Source organism: Homo sapiens, chromosome 12 (genome assembly GCF_000001405.40).
Source record: "Homo sapiens chromosome 12, GRCh38.p14 Primary Assembly".
NCBI lineage: Eukaryota > Metazoa > Chordata > Mammalia > Primates > Hominidae > Homo > Homo sapiens.
The window spans coordinates 76,833,405-76,857,066 of NC_000012.12; the positions used below are offsets into that span (position 1 = coordinate 76,833,405).

A 23,662-nucleotide genomic window follows, 5' to 3' on the forward strand; every position below is an offset into this window, starting at 1 on the left:
TTCAAATGTCCTTATATTATACTCTGAATATAATTTTAAGTTCATAAACCCTCCTGGAAAACAGTTTGGAAGCCTCTAGAATGATCTTTAAAAATACCCTTTAATTGGCCGGGCATGGTGGCTCACGCCTGTAATCCCAGCACTTTGGGAGGCCGAGGCAGGCGGATCACGAGGTCAGGAGACCGAGACCATCCTGGCTAACATGGTGAAACCCCGTCTCTACTAAAAATACAAAAAATTAGCCGGGCATGGTGGCGGGTGCCTGTAGTCCCAGCTATTCGGGAGGCTGAGGCAGGAGAATGGCATGAACCTGGGGATGCGGAGCTTGCAGTGAGCCGAGATTGCGCCACTGCACTCCAGCCTGGGCAACAGAGCGAGACTCTGTCTCAAAAAAATAATAAATAAAAATAAATACCCTTTAATCTCTTAATCATGTGTCAGTAGGTAATCAGATGTAAGACCAAAGATTTATTTACAAGGATGTTTCTCTTCGTATTATTTATAGTAGGGGAAAAAATGAAAACAACCTGAATAGCCAACCTAAATAGGGTGAGAGTTTTATCAGTTACGCTACCTATGGAATGGTATTACATAACCACTAAAATACTTTCCTGCCTTAATGATATGGGCTCATATTTAAGATACAATAAGTGAAAAAATACTAAATTATATTTACAGAATGAAGTTTAAAATGCACAAAGGAAAAGAGCTGGAAGTGAATATGTATCATTTTAGCAGTGGTTATCTCTAGGAATTGGACTCATGACTGATTTTATTTGGTTTCTTGCATTTTTATTTATTTTTAAAAATTTTTTCTCTGACTATGCTTCTTTTATTATAATTAAACAAATCTAAAATTGACTGACATAGTATAGTCAACTGCTTATTGTGTTGACAACACTTTTGAAATATTGACAAAAGTTTATTAGAAATTTTATGTCTGAAAATAAGTAATTTTTCAATGTGGCTTTAAGTTAATTGAGCTTCTTTAAACTCAAGAAGGATATAAACTGTGCAGAATCTGGGATGATTACATATATTAAAAAATCAAGAATGTGCAGAATTAGTTATCTCCCATGCATTCCCTCTTAAGCATTTTTTTCTGTAGGTTACTTGTTAGACTTCTCTGTTTTCTGTGTATCTCTCCCAGTTTCCTTTTAATACCCTCTAAGCTTTTTAATGTCTATCTTCAGTTATCCAATCACCACTTTTCATGAATTTTAATAATATTGCTGTATATCTTTTTTTCCCACAAGAGTTTCTCTGAGGTTATTAAAGATATTCTATAATTTACATTCTCAATCATGTGCATTTGACTACTGTAAATGAAGATGGATGTGAGGGGAGGGATCAGTATCTTTTTCCCTCCATTAGAGAGGTCCTTGTTCCAGCACACCTTTTCTTCACTCAGTTGCAGTCTCAACCTTGATGTTCATCATGTTTCCTAGGTACACTGGTTTATTGATCTGTCTGCCTGTATTAACACTGTATAATCTAATTACTGTAGTTTTGTTCTTAAATTATATTGGAGCAGGGTAATTTTTCCAAGTTTGTTATTTCTCAGGAATATCTTAGCTCTTTTTGGCCTTTTGCTCTTCCATTTAGATTTTTTTTTTAGAATAAGCTCTTTGAGTTCCGCGAAAAGCCTTAGGCCTTTTTTTTTTTTTTGGCAGTCTTGCTGTGTTGCCCAGGCTGGAGTGCATTGGCGCAATCTCAACTCACTGCCACCTCCACCTCCTGGGTTCAAGCAATTCTCCCACTTCAGCCTCCTAAGTAGTTGGAATTACAGGCATATACCACCATGCCTGGCTAATTTTTGTATTTTTAGTAGAAAAGGGGTTTTACCATGTTGTCCAAGCTGGTCTTTAACTCCTGAACTCAAGTGATCTACCTGCTGTGGCCTCCCAAAGTGCTGGGATTACAGGCATGAGCTACCATGTCCAGCCAGTCTTACGCCATTTTGATTGAAATTCTATTTGAGCTGTAGATTAATTTACAGAAAGTAACTACTTTTGATACTTAGACCTTTTATGTTTTTTAATGAAGTCATATAATTTCTTATGTAGAAGTTTATATCTCTTGTTAGATTTATTTTTAAAAGAATTTTAATTTTTTTAAATTATGAATTTTTTATTTTTAATTAAAATTTCTGTTTGTGTCTGGGTTATAGAAATGTAGCTGATTAGTTATTGACAACAACCTTGCTAAAGCCTTTTATTATTTCTAATAACTTGGGGTATTTTGGATATATGACATGGGGTAATCATATGTATAAAGACTGAATTTTGTTTTTCTTTCTACTCTTTATAGCATTTAGCTCCTTTAGTCATCCTATTTTATTAGCTAGGATCTCAGTACACTGTGGAATAGACACAGAATGAGCATCCTCATTTTGTTCCTGACTTTAAAGGGTATCATCTTTAAAAGATTGACTTTAAAGGGCTAGTATTTTACCAGTGAGTGTGATTTTATAAAGTGTTTACTTGGATTTTATAAATAACCTCTCCCTCTACACCCCCTTTTTTTTAACTTTTTGTGAATTGTGTATGTTTTTTTCTTTATGCTTTTAATATTAAATAATATATTAATAGATTTTTCTAATGTTGAACCACTTATGCATGCCTGGAGTAAACAGACATGGGCATAATGTCTTATTTTTCTCTACATTGCTGGATTAAATATGTTACTAGTTTTGCGTGTACATTTGTGAATGAAATTGTCTTATAATTTTTTTGTATTGTCTTTGTTATGTTTTGATATCAACATGATAGCCTCAAAATGGGTGGAGACTTGTTCTTTTTTTATGTTCTTTGAAAGGGTTTGGGTTAAATTGAAATTATTAACTGCATGTTTATTAGATTTTGTAAAATCATTTTACCTGGAATTTGCTTTATGTTAAAGAATTTTGTAATATATAGTTTATTTGACTCAATTGTATATATATATATATTTTAGTGATTTGTCCATTTCTTTTCTTTTAAAATGTGCTACATTCTCTCTTGTTTTTTTAAACTCAGCTGCTGTGCCCCCCTCTCATTCCTGGTATTAATTAGAGCTATTTTCTAATCTATTTTATTGGATTTTTCAAAGAAACAACTTTAGGTTTTATTAATCCTTTCTATTTTCACTTTCAGTATGTTCTGTTTCCTTTTGTCTGCTTGTTTAGTTTTTTCTTTAGCTTATTAAATTGTTTAGTTTTCATTGATATTTTCTATTAGAAACATTTAAGTTTAAAAAGTAACATTTTGTATGCTACCTCAGCTGCATTCCATACAGAAGATTAAGCTTCTTAATTGGGTTGCTCAAGTCACTGTATCATTACCAAATTTTTATCTGTTTGCAGCATCATTTATTGAGCGACCTATGGTAAAATCTTCTACCGTGTTGCTATATTTAGGAGGTTCTCTTTGTGGTCCATATTTTGGAGTTTCATTATTAAGTATGTGTAAGTTTAGAATTCTTTCTAATGAATTGAACCTTGTATCAATATGTAGTGACTCATGGTAAAAAGCATTAGCAATGACTATTTATTTTAATTAGTATTGCTTTAAATAATTTATGGCCTTGAATTTTCGACATGTCTCTTGCAAATAGCATATAGGAATAAGCAAATCCTGAAGAGTGGACACTACATTTCTGAACCAGTTTACCTTTAGATTTTGTTTATTTATCATCTCTGGTCTCCATGGGGTTTTCTTACTAACAGCTCAGCAACACATTTAAAATGATTCAGGTTTTTGTGTTTTTTTGATACAGAGTTTTACTCTGTTTCCCAGGCTGGAGTGCAGTGGCGTGATCTTGATTCAGGGCAACCTCTGCCTCCCAGGTTCAGGTGGCTCTTGTGCCTCAGACTCTCAAGTAGCTAGGATTACAGGCATGTGCCACCACACCTGGCTATTTTCTATTTTTAGTAGAGACAGGGTCTACAAAAACTAAAAAAATTAGCCGGGTGTGGTGGTGCGTGCCTATAGTCCCAGCTACTCAGGAGGTTGAGGCAGTAGGACCCTTTGAGCCTAGGAGTTCAAGACTGCAGTAAGATATGATTATGCCACTGCACTCTGGCCTGGGCAACAGAGTGAGACCTTGTCTCTGTTAAAAAACTCTTTACTTAAGAACACATTTGTTACCATTGAGATTAAAAAACAACCAGTATGTTTCAGAGGATGTTAATCATTGTCCCTCAGATTTTCTTAATATACAGTGTGTCTTTTCAGGATGCAGTATTTAAAATGGAGGTTATATTTGTATACTATATGTAATTTATAAAAATGAAGGTTTTCTTTTATCTGAAATTTTCTGTTAGGATCTCTGAATTCTGTTTGATGTATTTATTAATTCTGGGATAAAACTATCCATGTGTTGAATTATCTTTGTCATCTGTGTTCATACTTTTGTCTCTACTCTTTATTATTATCATTATTATTATTTTTTGAGATGGAGGTCTCACTATGTTGGCCAGGCTGGTCTTGAACTGCTGGGCTTAAGTGATCTTCTGGCTTTAGCCTCCTGAGTAGCTGGAATTATAGGTGCATGCCACCATGTCCAGTTTTTGTCTCTAATTATTGTTTTGAGTTTTCTTTTTTCCCTCATTTACTGATTGTCAGTGTTTTTATCCTCCTTGTGTTCATCTTTATAAATTTTTAGTTCATATATTGTATAATGGTTTTTGTTTGATCTCAGTCTGTTTTTTTTCTAGAATCACGCTTTTCATCTGGTTCTAATTGTTTTATGATCTTATGTTTAAGCTTTTATAGGATTTATATTTTAATTTAATTATGAAGCATCTTTGGTTAATTTGCCTTTGTTCTTAATTTGTCTTTGTCCAAATTTGCGGCTGCTTTCCATACTGGGTTATTTGCTTTGTGAATGCTGTGCACATTTTTTCTGGTTTATTATTTTTGTTTTGTTTTTAAGTACACTAGCATAGTTGTTATGCCATTTCTTTTCATCTTTCATCTTGCTCGTGATTGACCTGGGCAAATATATTCAGACTTTTATGTTTTCTCTGATATATTTTAGAGTAATCTTTGAAGTTTTTCCTGTCCTGTTTGGTACAAGGATATTGAAGTTGTATGTCTGCCTTCAGTGTTACAGTTTGGCTAAATTTCTATTCATTTTTCTGTAGCCTAAGAAAAAGAGAGCTCAATTGTAAATTCTTGCTGAGAAACTTGGGTTTAGCTGTCTTAAGATCTTGCTGAAAGTTTTTCCTGAGGTTTTATTCTACGCAGCCTTAGAGATAGAATGATGTCAGAATTATCCCCCACCAGCCATCCCCTCAATTTTGTTAAGTCACCTTATTAATGACAAGCCTTGGTATTTCTTGATACTTAGTGGAAGCCATGCAGTGGTATTCAGGGACTTATGTTCCTGAAGGGATTTTCTTGACTTGTTCAAATTATCTACTCACCATTTCAATTATTTTTCTCCAATTGAGTGGGACTGAGGAGTGGAGTATGTATTAGTCAGTTCAAGCTGCCATAATGATATACCAGAGACTAGGTGGTTTAACAACAGAAATTTGTTTTCTCACAGTTCTGGAGGCTGGTAGTTTGAGATCAGGGTGCCAGCAAGTTTGAGTTCTGCTGAGGGCAGTCTTTGTAGCTTGCAGATGATGACTTTCTTGCTGTGTTCTCACATGGTGAGGAGAAAGAGGAAGAAATCTCTCATTCTACTTTATATAAGGAAGGCCACGGTCCTATTGGATTAGGCTCCCACCCTTATGACTTAATTTAAGCTTAATTGCTTCCTAAAGACCACATCTCCAGATGCAGTCAGATTGTAGGTGTTAGGGATTCAACATATGCATTGTGAGGAAACACAATTTAGTCCATAGCAAAGGGCCAGGGTGAAATGGGTGAGAATTCACATCTACAGTTTTTCATACTGCTAGTACAGGTAGAGCAGGATTAGGAGCTACCTCAGGCAGCCTGCCTCGCCAGAATCATCATCTTTTTTGGCCTTCAGTTTTGAACTTTATGATACATGTGGTCTGTCTCCTTTCTGAAGTTGTTGCCAGTATTTTGAGAGGCACTTGGTTTGTTTGATTTACTGTTTTTAATTCATTTTGCTGAGTATTATGGTAAATAAATTTAGTGTATGAATTTCTATTTTTGAAAGAAAGCCTAGATAAATTTGTTTAAAAATAAAATGAGAGCTGCATTTCATAGCAGACATCCAGAAAACATCCAACTAGATTAAAGAATTAAATGTAAAAAATGATTCTATAAACATTTAAGTGAAAACATTGATGGTAAATACTTGTTTTGTCTTTAATTCGGGGGCTGTTTAAACATAAAAGCAAAAATGTAAATTAAAACGATAAAATAGCAGGTATTTGCCTCTTAAATTGGCAGCGTTTTTTCATTACTGCTAATGCAAATGTACTGATCAGTCGTGTTGTTAGTGGGGTTATAAACTGGTATATCTTGCTGGAAAATAGTATAAAAGTGTCTGTGTATATTTATATCTCAAGCCTTAAAAATGTTTATACCTAAATATATTGTTTCCATAATATTTATTGGCATAGGAAATTGTGTTGAGCACTTTGGCGAGGCCGAATAGCATAGGTCATATGAGTCTGAGTTTTAATACTTGCTCTACCTCTAACTCACTCTGTAATCTTGGACAGTGTAGCTTCTGCTTCAGTCGTATCATCTGTAAAGTGGGGATAATAGCAGGATTTATCATAGGGTTCTTGTGCTGCTTAAATGGCACATAGTTGGTGATTAATATATTATTTTGTTAATAATTAGATACATTATGATACCAGTCATAATTAAAAATGCAGAATACCAAAATTAAAAGAAGTTTAATTCTGGGTTGTAGAGTTCTTGTTTCTGTCTTTATGCTTTTTTTAGTGCTTTCTCATTTTCTCTAATAATAAAATTAATACTGAAAACAGCCATATATTCATAGAGTGTGCCTATTTCCATTAATTTTTTTTTTTTTTTTTTCCGAGACTGAGTCTCACTCTGTTGTCCAGGCTGGAGTGCATGACGTGATCTTGGCTCACTGGAAACTCCGCCTCCCAGGTTCAAGCAATTCTCCTGCCTCAGCCCCCTCAGTAGCTGGGATTACAGGTGTGTACCACCATGCCTGGCTAATTTTTGTATTTTTAGTAGAGACAGGGTTTTGCCATGTTGGCCAGGCTGGTCTCGAATTCCTGACCTCAGGTGATCCACCCCCCTCGGCCTCCCAAAGTGCTGGGATTACAGGTGTAAGCCACTGCGTCCAGCCTATTTCAGTTAAAATTTTAAAATTAGCTCGTCTAATCTATTGCTAAAGCTAAATTCAGTCTACCATTTGAAGATACCTAATTTCTTTATCATTAAAGAGCAAGGAAAGACATTTTTAAAGTTCATTCAGTATTTAATTCCTTAATATACCTTTCAAATATGTAGTCATATATTGAGCTGACCCCCTGCAAATTTAATCCAGGTCCTGAGAGTTTGACTTATTTATTTACATGTTACGTTGGCACCTTTTCAAAACTTGTGATAAATAAAAGTGCTGCCCCTGAGTAATGTCAAGCCTCAGCATTCTGCACACTTTATTCTCCAGAATAAACAGCTGAAAGTTTGACTTCTTATTTACTCTCTGCTGGCTATACCGGTATATTTTGTGGAATAAGATTGGAAAAAGTTGGGGGAAAAGAGAGGATTGGAGAAAAAAGGAAAAGATAAGTCACTTTTGAATATGCCAGGTGATAATAACTAATCTTTTCTTCCGTCTTTTGTTTCTCCTGTATGTCAAGTGGCTATTGAGTGTTCTGGTATTTTCCAAACAAATATAGAATGATTTCATTCAAGAAGCTGTTCTTTTTCTATCTGTGCTTCATGAGAAATGTAAACAGTGGGTACACATGATAATGTCAAAAAGTCTTATGAAATTCTTGTATAATACTTGTATCTACATACAATCTTACAAATGGTATTTGAGTATACCTGGTGTTTTGTGTCTCAGAAATGTATTGCTCTAGCGACATTGCTGTATTTTTTATAGTGTTATTTAAATTGTTTTTTGATAATTTACTTGTGTTTATAAATGCCTAGTATATTTCTTACGTTTTTATGAGATAGAAAAAATGTGAACATATAAACTATTTGTTTTAAGCAAGCTTATATTTTTTCTGAAATCAATTTCAGTGTGTTCAAAAAAAGGCAAAAGTGAGAATTTTTCTTTTTTGACTTTCCTATAGTTAAAAGCAATCTTTTAAATATACGAGTATGATATCTGTAATATTTGGTAGATGCCTAAAGATTGCAGTGCATATACATAAAGTATATGTTAATAACTTTGAACATGAGAAATCTCTTCATTTTTGTCAAAAAATTAGTCATTTAAAAATTTTCATTGACTTTTTAATATATTCACTAACTTTTAAAGTGTCAGATAAGTCTGCATGATTTAAAATTTATAAAGAAGTCACATTATTTTTACATGTAGTTATAAACATAATGCAGAACAGTTTGTATTTTTTTGACTGGTAGGTGTTTTGTAAAATTTTATAGATTATAAGTTTATATATAATAGTAATTCATTTATCATTGCTTCTTTAGATTCCTTAACCTTAGGCACATCTCAACTTTTTATTTATCCATCTTCCATTCCTTGCCAATAGTGTTGCACTTTTCTACAATTTTGGAAAATCTTGGAAATCAGATCCAGGGATTATTAAAGCAACAGAAGAGCAAAAGAAAAAGGTAGCAAAATACCAACTAAGTCACTTGTATTTAACTGCCAGATTATCAGTATTTACAGCAGACATTAGAGGACAGAGGAATTAACTATCGTTTAGAATGTAAAGAAGTTTTAAGCTAAATTGAGATTATGTATCTTTTATTTGGTGCTCATCCTTGGTGCTCTTGTGATGCCTGTCCATAACACTTCCATGACATTTTATAATTTCGTGTTTCTCTCCCTTACAAGACTGCTGTGATTGCTTTGAGGGGTGAATACGGTGTCTTAAACATCTCTGTAAATCTCCAGGAAATAATTTGCATTCAGTAGATGTTTGCTGAATGACTATGTAAACTAGAAGGTTAATAAATTGGTTGATAGTGCAGGTACACCATCCCAGTAGCTAAAATATTTGTATATACCATCCAGGGCATCCCTTTCTTATAATGCAGGTAATTAGGAAACCAATATTATAATCTAACAATGTTGTGTATTTAGAGAACTGGACTAGAAGCATTTTAGATTATTTTAAGAGCTGTTTTATTTAGTCTCTAAAAACAGGACAAATTTTGATAAGTTATTCCAGTCCACAATTGACTAAGACAATGGCAGATTCTTATGGTCTAATCCCCTTTTTTCTGGGCAGCATAGAGATTGCTACCCTGTATTCTTCTTGCAATGAAATAGCAGTAAATAAAAGATTTTATTTCTCTTTTTGAACTCAAAACATCAGTAAATTAAAGATGAAAATCATGTTTATTGATTCATAGTGGTGGCAAAAGAGTTGGTGAGCATTGTTCAGTTTTGAATTAAATATTATTTTTTTAATTCACAGACAATAGTTGAACTTGCAGAGACAGGAAGTCTGGACCTCAGTATATTCTGCAGTACCTGTTTGGTAGTATTTTCTTCTTTGTTCTTCCCTCCCTTCTCTTCCTCCTGACAGTGGCATAGCATAGCGGGTATGGGGTGTGGGGAAAAGGAATAATTATTTTCAATGAACACATTCCCTGCTTCTTGGTATAAGAGGAAAGATGGTTAAAGGATGTCTGCTTCCCAAGGCGCTTATTCCTCGATGGTAGGCCTTGACTGTACTTTTGATTCGGAGGTGCCGTTTATTTGTATTCATTCTCTTTCTCTTTTCTCGCTTAAAATGTTAATAAATTAAAAACTAAGTAATAAAGTATTTCAGATCAAAGATTTATAATGATTCCCTAATAGATTGTTTTCTTTACTACATTTTAAGAAAATTTATACTTGTATTTAAAAGCCACATGGGAAAATCCATTAGATAACTGTTAAGACAACATGGCCTCTAAACAAGTTCAATTTGAGTAGGTGGTTTTTTTTGTTTTGTTTTGTATCAGAATGTTTATGTAACTTTGAACACTGTTTTATCATAGATTTTTAAAGTGGTCATCCTCATCCAGGTCATAGGTAAAGATATATATGAAATTACTAGTATTTATTAATAGAGTCAGGTATAGCACTATTGAGATTGTTTATTATTATAGACATTAATTTTCTGTAGGATAATACTCTTATGTTTAAATTATTTTTCACTTAGTTTTTATAATTAGTATTTGTGAAAAATATATATACTGCCACAGTGCTTAAATTATGTTTTTCTACATGGAAATTGAAATATTCCAAAGTCATACATAAAACTAAATGCTCTTTTATACTTATACACTGCAAGTGAGCTCATGTCTTAGCATCTGATTAATAATAAAGTCATTGACTTCATTTAGGATTATGGAATGAAGTTTTGAAACAGTTCTAATTCTGAAAATTCTTTATTACACTTAATATTCTTTGACCAGTTATGATTTTGAATATTCAAAATATATACAGCTTCATGTTTGGTAGCAACTTTAGGATACCGACCAGATTCTTTTATATATTCCGGCATTCTGAAAACAGTTTTTGTTTCTGTGCTTTACAATGGGTAATTTACAAAATTGATATTCTTTTTCTTAATATTTAGAATGTTTTAATACACTGCTGTTCTGTGGAAATATACTGTTCCACAAAGTATGCAGTGCTGATGTACTTGCCATATGGCAAACAAATTATATAGTCATTCAATACAGATAGCAGTTTCATTGTCAAATACATATTTGATGGCAAGAATAAGACTAATTTTGTCATCATAGCATAAATGTTTTATTATATATTATTTATAAGCCACATACTTCTTGTTGTAAAGAAGATTTCCTATTATAAAATCTTGCAGATCAGCAGAGGTAGTTGTCATTATATGGGTATGCTTCACTTTGGTAAGTAGACAAGTCCCTAAGGCTTGTAGATCAGAGCTTTCTTAAAAACGAATTACTTTGTTGATTGCACCCCTGCACTCCAGCCTGGGCCACAGAGTGAAACCCTGTCTCAAAAAAAGAAAAAAGAAAGGATTACTTTGTAAGTGATCCAAGGAACCTTGAGACCAAGTCACACCTTAACCAGTTAGTCTGTTTTTCAGATTTTTGACAGTGTTGCAGCTGAGGGTTGGAAGTGGGGATAGAAGTTGTTTGAATATCCTGCTGCCTTCTCCTAAGTAGATTTAGTCTAACAACTGTGGTGAAGAATAACTTACCCTTTTCTTTATTCCACAGATAATTTTGGTAGATGTAAGAACTGTGTATTCACTGTGCCTTTTCCTTGGTACCTCAAAATAGTGTGTAACTTTATGCAAACTAATGGAGAAATGGCAGTGCTTTTGTTGAAACGCTGAAGTATATTTATAAATTTTTTTCTGGCAAGAGTTAATAACTGCAGCTCTTTTATCATATGTCTAGCATTAGGACTGCCAGCCCTTTGAAGATCACCAATGAGTTCTTGTATTCACTTGGCTGATTTAGAGTAATGTAGGTTTTAAAAACCATTTCAAAATGCTTGAAAAACAGACATCATAAGCATGGATTCTTTATTGCCTGTCAATAGCTGAATAATGAATTATATGGGGTTTTTTTTTTTGCAAGAAATAGTGACTTCTTAAGCATGTTCTGCATTCTTAAATATGGTCATTTCAGCAGGAGAAATGCTGTACCTTAATCTGAGATCTCAGAAGGCACTTTACTGAAGAGAAATAGATGTGTACATATGGGTTTTTGCTGGATTTGTTAATTTGGGGAAGACAAATATTTTATTGATGATTTTGAATTTTAAGAGCTTTTTAAATTCACTTTTAGCCTGACCTTCCTAGTAAGGAATAATTTTATTTTATTGAAAAACACCAATATCATGACCATTAATCATAATGGAACATCATTTAGAAGACTGGAGATTGATATGTTTTTATTACTCAGAAATTTGAGGGATGTGAATTAAACATAGCATCATTCATCAAATCAAATTGGTAATTCTTAGCTTTTGTAAATTGATGGTTCAGTTCCATTCTTAAGAGCATATTTTCTAGAGTAGCCTCATTCTTTTATTCTTTGTTTTTGCAGTTGAAATTTTATTAAACAATAGTGACTTTTGGTTTCATTCATTTGGAAACCTTGATATAATCTTGTTTAAAAAATATAGTTTTATTTTTTTATAATTATATTTTGAGAAAATAAATAGTCAGCTTTTCTCTCTTAGTATAATGCCTTTCATAATCCTTTAACATGCCTATTAACAGATACGAAAACCGGTGAGGTCCAAACATTGTGGTGTGTGCAACCGCTGTATAGCAAAATTTGATCATCATTGCCCATGGGTGGGTAACTGTGTAGGTAAGTTGTATTAGTAATTTCTTCTGTATCATTCATTTAAGTTACTTTAGGTAATGAATAAAGTATAATATTAAAGTAGGCAATAGAAAGTTTATTACTCCACGCTTCATTTTCTCAGTTATCTTCTGGTTGACAACACAGCAACTCAGTTGAGAGAGGGAGGGAAAAAAATTACAAAATTAGTGGCTGATACCTTTTCTCTGTCAGTTCTATCTGGTGCCTACTCTTGATAAGGAGGCAAAATTTTTTTTTTCTAGTTAAACTAGAGAGATGAAGGCGGTAATATTTGAAATGATATTATGTGCAGAGGTAGAGAGGAATGACAGATAAGAACAGTACACACATTAGTGTTCAAGAATGGTATAGTCTAAGGAGAGAAACTACATGGTTTGAGACATGCCCCGGAGATTTTATGAGGTGACAGGAAACATTACAAAGATTGTTTACCTCTGTTGAAGAGAAACCTTTGGATTGTAAAGTTTATAAAAGTAAAGATAAAATAGGGCTATTTTAAACCTCACAAAGAATAGGATTAGAGGTCAGAATTGTGATTTATTTAGTTCTTTGGGACTTGAACACCATTGTCATCATTATATCTTTGTGTGTAATTGCAAGCATTCTTATTTAAGATTTTTATTAAAACATTTTTCCTGAAAACCACTTTATAAAATAATGAATGTATGTGTGATTATCATCAAAACTGTAGCACACCTTTCATGGCATACCCCTCAAAGGTGCATTACCCGTTGTTTTTTTCTTAGCTGAAAAACCTTGCTTCTGTGTCGTTCTTCAGGTGCAGGCAACCATAGATATTTTATGGGCTACCTATTCTTCTTGCTTTTTATGATCTGCTGGATGATTTATGGTTGTATATCTTGTGAGTACAATTAGTTTTCGGTCTTTTTAAAACAAATTTCTGCATACTTAGATTATACTTACCACACTAACAAATTACTATAATGACAAAGGTCGTTTAACTAAAATTATGGTTTGGACACCTTATGAAGCACAAAAGGGAAAAAAGATACAGCTCTATCAATTATGTCCAATATACAGTGTAAGCAAACAGTTAGCAGTTAACCACCTTTTAATACTTGTGTCCTCTGAAAAACATATTGGTTTAATAGGCTTTGAGAAGCTTCTGGGTGAAATACATCAACATTTTCCACATCATGTGCTTGCTTTACTATAGTAGCTTATAGATTAAGTGATTGTCTTAGTTCTGTTTCTTACCAAGCAGTTGGGAAAATATACTTAAAATTAAATTTGCAGAGAATTTGAAATATTTTGAAAAGTAAGGTATAATTATTGCCTATTAGAGAATATTAGTAAATATCAGAAGTTACCTTTTTAAGAATAAGTTGTTATTCCATCATGTGGGTTTTATACCTTAAAGGAAATGATAGATTTTTGTTGCATTGAGAATGCAGTCTGGAAAGAGTTTAAGTGGATACGTCACTTACGATGCCTCAGGGCTTGGTGGTGCTTGGCATAAAGATGTATTAGATCCTCGTTTAAATACAAGTCTTGGAAGGATGATTTTCTAGTCTTCCTGCCCCACAGATAGTAAAAATAATCAGTGTTATTGCCCTAATGAACCAAAGGAGGTTACCACCTCAGTTAAAGATTAATAGGAAGATTTGGTCAAAGAACTTGACCTAATTTCTGGCCCAGCACACCTGAGGAGAATACTTTCTTGCCAACAACAGCAGTATTTTATAGCAACTCTCCTACAGCAGGAGATTTTGTATTAGGAAAGGCCTACCTTGGCTGGGCATGGTGGCTCATTGCCTATAATCCCAAAACTTTGGGAGGCAGAGGCAGGTGGGCCAGTTGAGGCCAGGAGTTTGAGACCAGCCTGGGCAACGTAGGAAGAGAGACCCCATCTCTACAAAAAATACAAAAATTAGCCCGGTGTGGTAGCGCATGCCTGTAGTCCCAGCTACTCAGGTGGCTGAGGTGGGAGGATTGCTTGGGTCCAGGAGGTCGAGGTTGCAGTGAGCCTTGATTGAGCCACTGCACTCCAGCCTGGGTGACAGAGCGAGACCTTGTCTGGAAAAAAAAGCTCATGTCACCATCCTATTATGTTATATGCCCTCTTTCAAAAAAATCTCTTTCATATATCCTCTCATCTTTGTGTAAAGAAAATGTTTTTCTAAGTATTATGTGATGCAATACCAATCAAATAAAATTGTTAATTCTGAAGATACAGTGATTTTTTTTTAAGATTGGCTGCTCCTTTTCCATTTCTGTGTTTTTTCACTGAGATATAATAGGGTTATTTAAGAGTATAAAGACATTTGCTATTGAATGTCATCAGTTAAATCTAGACTGTTTGACTATGTTTTCTAAATGGTGCCAGCACAAATGCCTATATGAGGTGCTTGGATGATTATTGAGTAAATACGAGTACTTCTGTTCTGGCTTTAGACTGGGGACTCCACTGTGAGACCACTTACACCAAGGATGGATTTTGGACATACATTACTCAGATTGCCACGTGTTCACCTTGGATGTTTTGGATGTTCCTGAACAGTGTTTTCCACTTCATGTGGGTGGCTGTATTACTCATGTGTCAGATGTACCAGGTATGTGCAAAGGCATTCTTTTTAGTGCACTAAGTGAAAACTCTTCCATCCTTGCATAAAAGATAATAATATATTCTCTTCCTAACCACTCCTGCTCTTCAAATATTCATTTTATTTTTCAATTTAGTTTTCCTTTCTACCTCACTCTTTTGCCCCTTCCTCTTCTCATATTGTGAACTTTTGAATTTTAGTACTTATCTCAACAGAAATTTTAATCTGTTATTCCTGACTTAAATACATCCAGTTGAGTATGTGTGAGCTCAGATTGATGATGACATTAATTTTGTGTTTTTAATGGTATTTTTATTCACAAATACTAATATTTATTCAAAAGCCTTTTTTTAATTTTTAAAAGCTCATTCTCAGAGAGGCTGATAGGGAGGTTGTCTGTGCAGGAATAGCGCCTGTCCATGCACAGTGTCAAGTAACCTGTCTTTAAATATTTTCCACATTTAACTGGCTACTTTTCACAGTCAAATGATACCACGTAAACTAGTTCTGATGATCTCCTGATGGAAAACCAAAAACAGACTTCATTGTTTTTATCTTTATCCTAGTTTTCTTCAAATTAATTTTTTTATATTAAGTATTTAGAAAGAATAATGGTTTGTGCAGCCTGGCATGGTGGCTCACACCTGTAATCCCAGCACTTGGAAGCCGAGGTGGGCGGATCACTTGAGCCCAGGAGTTTGAGATCAGCCTGGGCAACATGGTTAAACCCTATCTCTAAAAAAAAAAAAAAAAAAAAAAACCCAACAAAAAAAAGAAAATTAGCCGGGCATGGTGCATGCGCCTGTAATCCCAGCTGCTGGTGGGGTGGGGGTTTTGGGGTGGGGGGAGGTGGCGGGGGTGGAATCACTTGAGCCCACCCAAGAGGGAGCTGAGAATTCGCCATTGCATTTTAGCCTGGGTGACAGGGCAAGGTCCTGTCTCAAAAAAAAAAAAAAAAAACAAGAATAATGGTTTGCTTTTTCTTTCCTCTTAGATATCATGTTTAGGTATTACTACAAATGAAAGAATGAATGCCAGGAGATACAAGCACTTTAAAGTCACAACAACGTCTATTGAAAGCCCATTCAAGTATGTACATATTTATAAATTTAATATTTTACCTGGTCATAAAAATTTTCTTACTAACCAGACTCTTTTACTTAGTGATATGTAAAATAGCTTTTAAACCTTTTTAAGATTTCTGTAGAAATAGCATCAGTTCACCATAATAACAACAAAACAGAATTCATCACATTAACTGTATATAATAAAGTTGTGATATCTCCTTATATTTTTTTCTTTTTAATTTTAAATTTGTATTCAGTCTGGTGCTTAGAAATAGTAGGGTCCTAAGTATATGAAATATTTAAAACTTTGAGTTTTACTGAAGTTATTACCAACTCTTCAGCTTTTGTGGTGCTGTCAATTATGGCATACTTCTGGAAAGCAAGCAGACCTTTAAATAAAAACAGAGTTAGTTGGGTAGTTTTGAGAATTCTCCCATAGGTACAAAAATTATATAAGGCACAAAACTGACTGCTTTTCTTTTCTTTTTTTTAGACAGAGTCTTGCTCTGTCACCCAGGCTGGAGTGCAGTGGCATGATCTCGGCTCACTGCTACCTCCACCTCCTGGGTTTAAGCACTTCTCTGCCTCAGCCTCCTGAGTAGCTGGGATTACAGGCATGCACCACGCCCAGCTAGTTTTTGTATTTTTAGTAGAGATGGGGTTTCACCATCTTGGCCAGGCTGGTCCTGAACTCCTGACCTCATGATCCACCCGCCTCGGCCTCCCAAAGTGCTAGGATTACTTACCGACGTGAACCACTGGTGCGCACCTGGCCAAAACTGACTGCTTTTCTAAAGGTGTTACTGGAGTACTAAAATTTCATGAACTTATCCTTGACATTTCTTTTTTAAGTTGTTATCCTTAGGTTCACTGCCAGATTCATGCTATTTATAATTATTTTGTCTTTTACTTTTTTTCTGTTTTAGAGATAGTTTGTCTCCTGCCAAAGAGCCACTAATTAAAGGTTTTTATCAAAAATTACATATGGAGCCAGGCATGTTGGTGCATGTCTGTAGTCCTAGCTACTTGGGAGGCTGAGGTGAGAGGATTGCTTGAGCCCAGAGTTCGAGGCCAGGCCGGGCAACATAGTTAAGACCTCATCTCTAAAAATAAAAATAAAAATGCATATAACACAGAAAGTATATGCACATTTGAATAAATTTAAAATATAATTGTGTAAGTCTTTAAATTGGCAAAAGAAAAAATCATTGTTGGCAGAGCAGTGGAGAAACATGAAGGCATATATATTTTATAGAGTTATGAATTGGTTCCTTCTTGCAAGTAACCTGAGTTTTTAAGTTTAGAAAAAAATATATTTAACACGAAAATTATATTGAATTCATGTATTAAATCATTTGTACTGACTGACGTGTTTTCTTTTTGGGGTGCTGTTTTTAGCCATGGATGTGTAAGAAATATTATAGACTTCTTTGAATTTCGATGCTGTGGCCTCTTTCGTCCTGTTATCGTGGACTGGACCAGGCAGTATACAATAGAATATGACCAAATATCAGGATCTGGGTACCAGCTGGTGTAGCGACATCTTATCCTATGAAGCATATTGCTGAGTGGTGCCTGAAAATTGTGTCTGTCCGTGTCTTTCTCACACTCGAATCCACATCCTTTGAACAAGAGCATGCTATGTGTAGGGCTAATGGTGAATTTTACAGTCTTTTTTTCAACACTTTTATTAACAAAAGTAAACATGGACAGAACACACTGCCATTTCTGGGAAGAGTAAAGATGATAAAAAATAATTTTAATGGTTCTTAATGTGGAAATTCACAACATACTCAACTTTTGGGTTTTGTTCTCACAGTATTTTTCACAAAAAAAGGGTAAACTTATTCTATTGACAGACATGGTGTACTGATCAGAAATGTTCAGTTTTAACTAAAACTAAATTTATGTTATTTGGCTAAATGTTATGATGCAGTCTAGTACGAGTATTGCATCTAATTCCAGGAGCATTGTTTTAAGTTGATTGACTAGTTATTATGTACATTTCAGAATGTACACATAAATACTGTGATGAAAATCATGTGATTGGGATCTACTGTGATGTTGTCTTCAAAGGCAGGAGAAAATAATGTTCACAATAAAATGTGCTAACAATGTTTTGTTTCTATCAGCTGTTGCAATGCTGATATATTTCTAGTTCAGTGAAATAATTTGTAGTAACCTTACTCTGAGGTTTTACGGTCTGATAATGAAGCACTTGCATGAGTATAGTAAGTCATGTTTTTTTGTTCAAATTTAAAAGCCCTGCTAATTGCATGACACACCACATAGAATGTATACTAGCAGATACTATCCAGTGAAGCATAAATTAGAATTTAATTTGATGTTCAAAAACAGTTCCATTTTTAAGGGTTAAGGTGGTATTTTCAAGAAAAGGCAGAACAAATAATGCAAAATTCTCAGTAATAGTGATACATGGATATACTTCCTTTTAAATTCTCAGCTGCAAAATAATTGTAGACAAAATAATGGCATTTAACTAAAGATGGAGCATGATCTAAGTACATAGCACATGTGAATAAAAGAAAAGCTGACAGTATATTCTGGTTTCAATAAAATGACCTATCAGAAAGTAGAATTTCATCCCCAAGAGTATTTCAGTTTATCCAATATTGAGTAAGTTCTGAAACAGTTTTAGAAAAAATTTTCTTTTTGTTAAATGTGATGCACTGATCAATTTTTGTCACAGCATTTTCATACCTTCATGGTGGACTACTAGTCACTGCTTCCATAAATATTGTTTACAGGGTGAGATTTGGTTTATTCATCTTAAGTGCTGTAGCAAACTGTGGTTCGAGCAACCTGTGGGAAATCTGTGAGAGGGAATGGGGTGGGAGATGTGGGGGAATGGTGGTCAGACTGATGACAGATCCTAGACCAATGTAAAGAATGTGTATCTGTATATAAATAATTTATCAAATAGTTTTCTCTTTGTGTCTGTGTTAGTGTTTTTAAAGCTGCTCATTTCATTTTGTCCAACCAAAAAGAAAAGGGAGATAACTAATGAGCTTCTAGTGATGTTCAAAATTGCTGTTAATAGGCATTATACCCTGCAAGTTCACTGCATGTCTGATGCTTGGTAAAACTAGTCTTCCCTGTAAAATGCAGATTACAGGTATTAAAGCAATCTAGTGGTATACCCGCCCCTTGCCTTAGTAAGAGGAGCAGTGAAATGTATATAGTTGATGTTCAGTATTTCCAAGTACCATTTTTATATAGTAGCTTATTTGACCATAAGTCACACATCAAAAAAAGATTACCCTTAGTGTATGTGTTTTAATATTAGAAAATTGGCATATGTACTTTATTTTTGAAAAGGGAAGAGATGGGTGTGGGGTGGCAATAGCATTGTGCCATTTTGTCATAGAATGTAAAAATTGGTTAACTTTACAAATGTCAGCTAGTTTTGACTACTAATTGGGGGAAATTTTAGATAATTTTTAAATTCAAAGTTATTTATAAAATGCTAGAATTTGTTTTAATTTTTTGTATTTTGAGCCACTTCACATGAAGACTCAGTTGCATTTTTATCGAATACATTTTTATCAACAGTTAAAGACTATGGTGGTTTTTTCAGAGTTTGGCTAAGAATGTTGTTACCATCTTCTTTGTTTGTGGTACAATATTTTCAGTGCAAAAGAGATGTCATTCAGTTAAAAAGACAAACCTCTAGATGTGTAATTACATGGAAAATACTAGCAATGTGAATGCTTTTGTAGTAACCATCTTGTAGTACCTGTGAAATCTATAACTCAGAAATGGTCAGATGGTCAGGAGCCAGCTATGCAGCAGTATACCATCTGTTTAATTATTTTGTAGGTCCTGTGTGTGGAACCAACTATAAACCCAGTTCTAAAGTTGTGTATGATGGTGAACCTTTGGGAATAGTTCTTATCAACTTAATTGGATACTTTTAGCAAATAGGAACTTAATTCTCAGCACTGAACATGAATTACTTCCTTGGAGTTTTTTTTCATTCATATTTTTGTTGTTTCCAGGAATTTATTTGATATTAATGGGCGTAAAACAGCATCATTGTACTTAAGCTATGGATGTTTTTATTTTATATTTTCTTTATTTATAACTGTGCCAAGTATTATTTTGCTACTTACCGTGTTATTCTGTGGAAAGAAAAACCTGTAAAGTGTTTAATAAATTAGCCCTCCTTACATAAATTAAATGTCAAAATTTTGTAAAATATTAATCAGAATAAATACTGACTCTTAAGTGTGTGCTTATGATTTCACTCAATTTACTTCAGGAAATTGATGAAATGATAGTGGTACCTATGATATGAAAAGATTATACATTTATATCCTGGTTAACTAGGAGTCAAGTGGCATAAGACTGTAGGAATTTGGAAAAATAAAAGATGGTGTTAGTATTCTAAAAAAAAAAAAAAATTTCCAATCCTGTGTGTATGCATGTGTGTGTGTGTGTAATTTTTTTTTAAATAAAGATAATAAATTTTTTAAGAATTTTTGAATTCCATGTAGTTAATTAGGATCCTCAGGGACTGTATGAATCTCCAAGTTTTAAATATGTCTAAAGATACTAAAGAAAAATATTGCAAAATGTACTATATAAAGAAAAATACTGCAGAATGAAACCTACCAAACGTTGATCTCAGTTACTTGAGAAGATATGCGTGGCAGAGAGAACTTCTTTATTTGGGACTTTAAAAGGCAAAAATTATTAAGGAACTGTTTCCTGTTGTTCCAGTGGTTGTTAATGGTTTGAGAACCCAGTGGTATTAAACAGGAATATTTTCAAATTGGACTAATACTCTATCCATAATTTTAGTCTGGAGTTCAAGTAACAATATCTTGAACAACTGTATAAAGTAAAGCCGCTAGTTTTCATTCCACCCAAGTATTTTCCTCCTCATTGTCTACTTTTTATCTCTCCTAGTCCTTGCTAGATTGATGTATCATACCTGATATGGATGTCTGAGTCTAGGAGTTTTTAGACATAATTGGAAACAAGTGGTATATACCAGGACAGAAAATCTTAACATCTTGTCAGAAAGTAAAGTGCTTGTTATCAGAGTTTTCTATTAAATATATTTATGTGACTTAAAATAGAAAAAGTAGATTGAGCATTCAGAATATTCTTTGGTCTGTGTCAGCTAAGTCAGAAACTCAAGGAAACCAGGTATGCCTCTTAGAAAACTCTTGCCTTTGAATTGGATATGAATGTTTTACCCAGGTAAATTTTTGCTAAAACTGTCACTCATTTACTAGGACTGACAAATATTTTTAATAGATGGCAATGTTTTTAGATTGTTTCCATTCAAAGCATCAGAAAGTCCCATTGTTGCTGCTGCTGCTTGGATCTGTAGGTTTACAGTTTTCATCAAAATTTGGAAGATTTTCAGTTACTCTTTCTTCAATTATTTTTCCTCCCCTCCTTTCAGGAAACTCCCATTTCACATGTGTTAGGCCACTTGAGATTGTCTTCCAACTCATTGATCGATCCTCCATTGGCTTTTAAGATTCTTTTTCCCAGTGTTTGTTTTAGATAGTTTGTCTTTAAGTTGACTATTGTTGTTTTTTTTTTTTTTTTTTTGCAATGTGTAGTCAATATCATTCAGTTTATTTTCATCTCATTTTGTTTTCACCTACAATGTTTGATTTGGACCTTTTAAAGTATCTTCAATATCTTAACTTTTTGAAAACATGTAGTTCTAATAACTGTTTTAATGTCCTTACCTGCTAACGTTTACATTTGCCAGTTCTGAGTTAGTTTTGATATTTTTTTCCTCATTCTTGCGTGCCTGGTAATTTTTTATTGGATGCCAAACACTATGAATTGGGTGCCTGATATTTTTGTGTTTCTATAAACTCTTGAGCTTTATTCAGGATGCAGTTAAGTTACTTGGAAACTTTGATCCTTTGAGGTCTTGCTTTTAAGATTTGTTAGGCAAGACCAAAGCATTGCTCTTACCTCAGTAAGAGCCTTCTCTGTACTCTATCCAAAACCGCAAGGAGTCATGTTTCCCAGTCTTGGTGGTGGAACAGGCACTATTCCTATTCCATGTGCGCACCAGACACTGTTTGCTCCACGTCTTTTGGATGGCTCTTTCCCTGGCCTTAGTCACCTAACATGCATGTTCTATCAGAATTCAGCTGAAGACGTGCATGGTGGGGTAGTGTTCTGTATAATCCTAAAGTTTGCTCTCTCTAATCCTCTCCAGTCCTGCAAACTCTAGCCACCTGGATCTCCCTGGACTCTTAGCTCTGTCTTAACTTATGGTGGCTTCTAGCTCTACCTGTGTTCTTCTTCTTTGTACTACAGCCTAGAAGCTCAAAGCAGTAAGCTTTGGTAGTTGCTAAGACTGATCTCATTTTTCCCCCCATAAATTGCCTTTGTTGCCTATAATGTGCAGTGTCTTGAACATTTTTTCATGTAATTTGTCTTGTTTACAGTAAGACAATAAATCTGGTCCCTGTTACTACATTTTGGCTATAAGTGGAAGTCTGAATTAAAATTTTAAAAATTTTGTTTAATTTCTAATACAAAATAATATTGATAGAGACAACTGTCATAAGCAAAAGCTCTTTGGAGTCCTCAATAATTTAAGGATATTAAGGGGTCCTGAGATCAAACTGTTTGGAAACCACAGGTTCAGAACATTTCCCAAGATGTTAATGGTTCCATGGACAACTAATTCAGTGTAAGGCTCTCTTCAAATTAAAAGACTTCAACCATAGGCTCTCAAGGCCTTCAGTAGCTAGTGTGCAGTGTCAGCATACAGGTCTGTCTCATTTCTGTAACACTCCCTAAACTTACTTGATTGACAAGACTTTTTTGGCACTAGAGTTGCCAGCAGTCCTCCTTAAATATACCAAACCAATATAAGGGGGGTAGTTTTTAAAATACATGTTTTGTGACATGCAGCACTTTAATACTGCATTCGGATTACTTTGGGGTTACTGACTTACATCCAAATGACCAAGTGATTCCTCCCAAGTCTGGCCCAAAGCCAATTTCCTTTTTCTACTCCTGGAACCTCTGGAAACTAATCTCACAGTGTTGGAGTAGCTATTTTGCCATGGCTCTCAATCAAGAATGATTTAAAGTATGAATGGATATCTTGTTTTATTTTACCAGACAGAAATCTCAAATTACCAGTCACCTGGAAACTTCATTTACATTGTTTTTCCTCTTGAATATCTACTAGCAACTCCAGTAGAGTTTGGGAAACATGGTAGGAATGCTAACAAACTACCCCAAACTTTGGTGGTCTAAAACATTTTTGTTCGTAGATCTGCAATTTGGTCAGGGCGTAACAGGAATAGCTCACTTTGCTCCACCTGGGATCAGCTGGGATGGCTCAAAGACCAGAGACTAGAATAATCTGAAGGCTGCCTCACTCACATGCCTGATGGTTGATACTGGCTGTTGAATGAGCTCTCAGCTGAGGCCTTAGCTATAATGCCTACATGTGGTTTCCTCATGTAGTCAGGGCTTCCTCAGAACATGGTGGCTGAATTCCAAGAGTAAGCATCCTAAGAGGAAGAGGTGGGCAAAAGCTGTATTGTCTTTTCTAACCTAGCCTTATCCAAAATAATAAATACTAAGAATGAGTCACTAA

General features: G+C 34.4%; 1 protein-coding gene across 2 annotated transcripts in view, besides 1 other annotated feature; it reads left to right on the forward strand.

The window, feature by feature from the left end:
- Nucleotides 1-20,297, forward strand: part of ZDHHC17 (zDHHC palmitoyltransferase 17) — an 89,587-nt gene extending 69,290 nt beyond the window's left edge. The window contains exons 11-17 of one of the 2 annotated variants that reach the window (NM_015336.4): nt 8,578-8,702; nt 9,515-9,577; nt 12,305-12,398; nt 13,192-13,275; nt 14,829-14,986; nt 15,972-16,066; nt 17,443-20,292. In NM_015336.4, coding sequence (NP_056151.2) covers nt 8,578-8,702; nt 9,515-9,577; nt 12,305-12,398; nt 13,192-13,275; nt 14,829-14,986; nt 15,972-16,066; nt 17,443-17,581 — 758 coding nt within the window. In that variant the 3' untranslated portion in view covers nt 17,582-20,292. Of the gene's footprint in view, nt 1-8,577; nt 8,703-9,514; nt 9,578-12,304; nt 12,399-13,191; nt 13,276-14,828; nt 14,987-15,971; nt 16,067-17,442 lie in introns of both variants that reach the window. The other variant, NM_001359626.1, reaches the window with a different exon arrangement.
- Nucleotides 22,731-22,931: a silencer, noted in NCBI's record as "peak1846 fragment used in MPRA reporter construct". NCBI's record gives its function as "represses an SCP1 promoter by STARR-seq MPRAs in K562 erythroleukemia cells {active_cell/tissue: K562}" and the evidence as "EXISTENCE:reporter gene assay evidence [ECO:0000049][PMID:32103011]".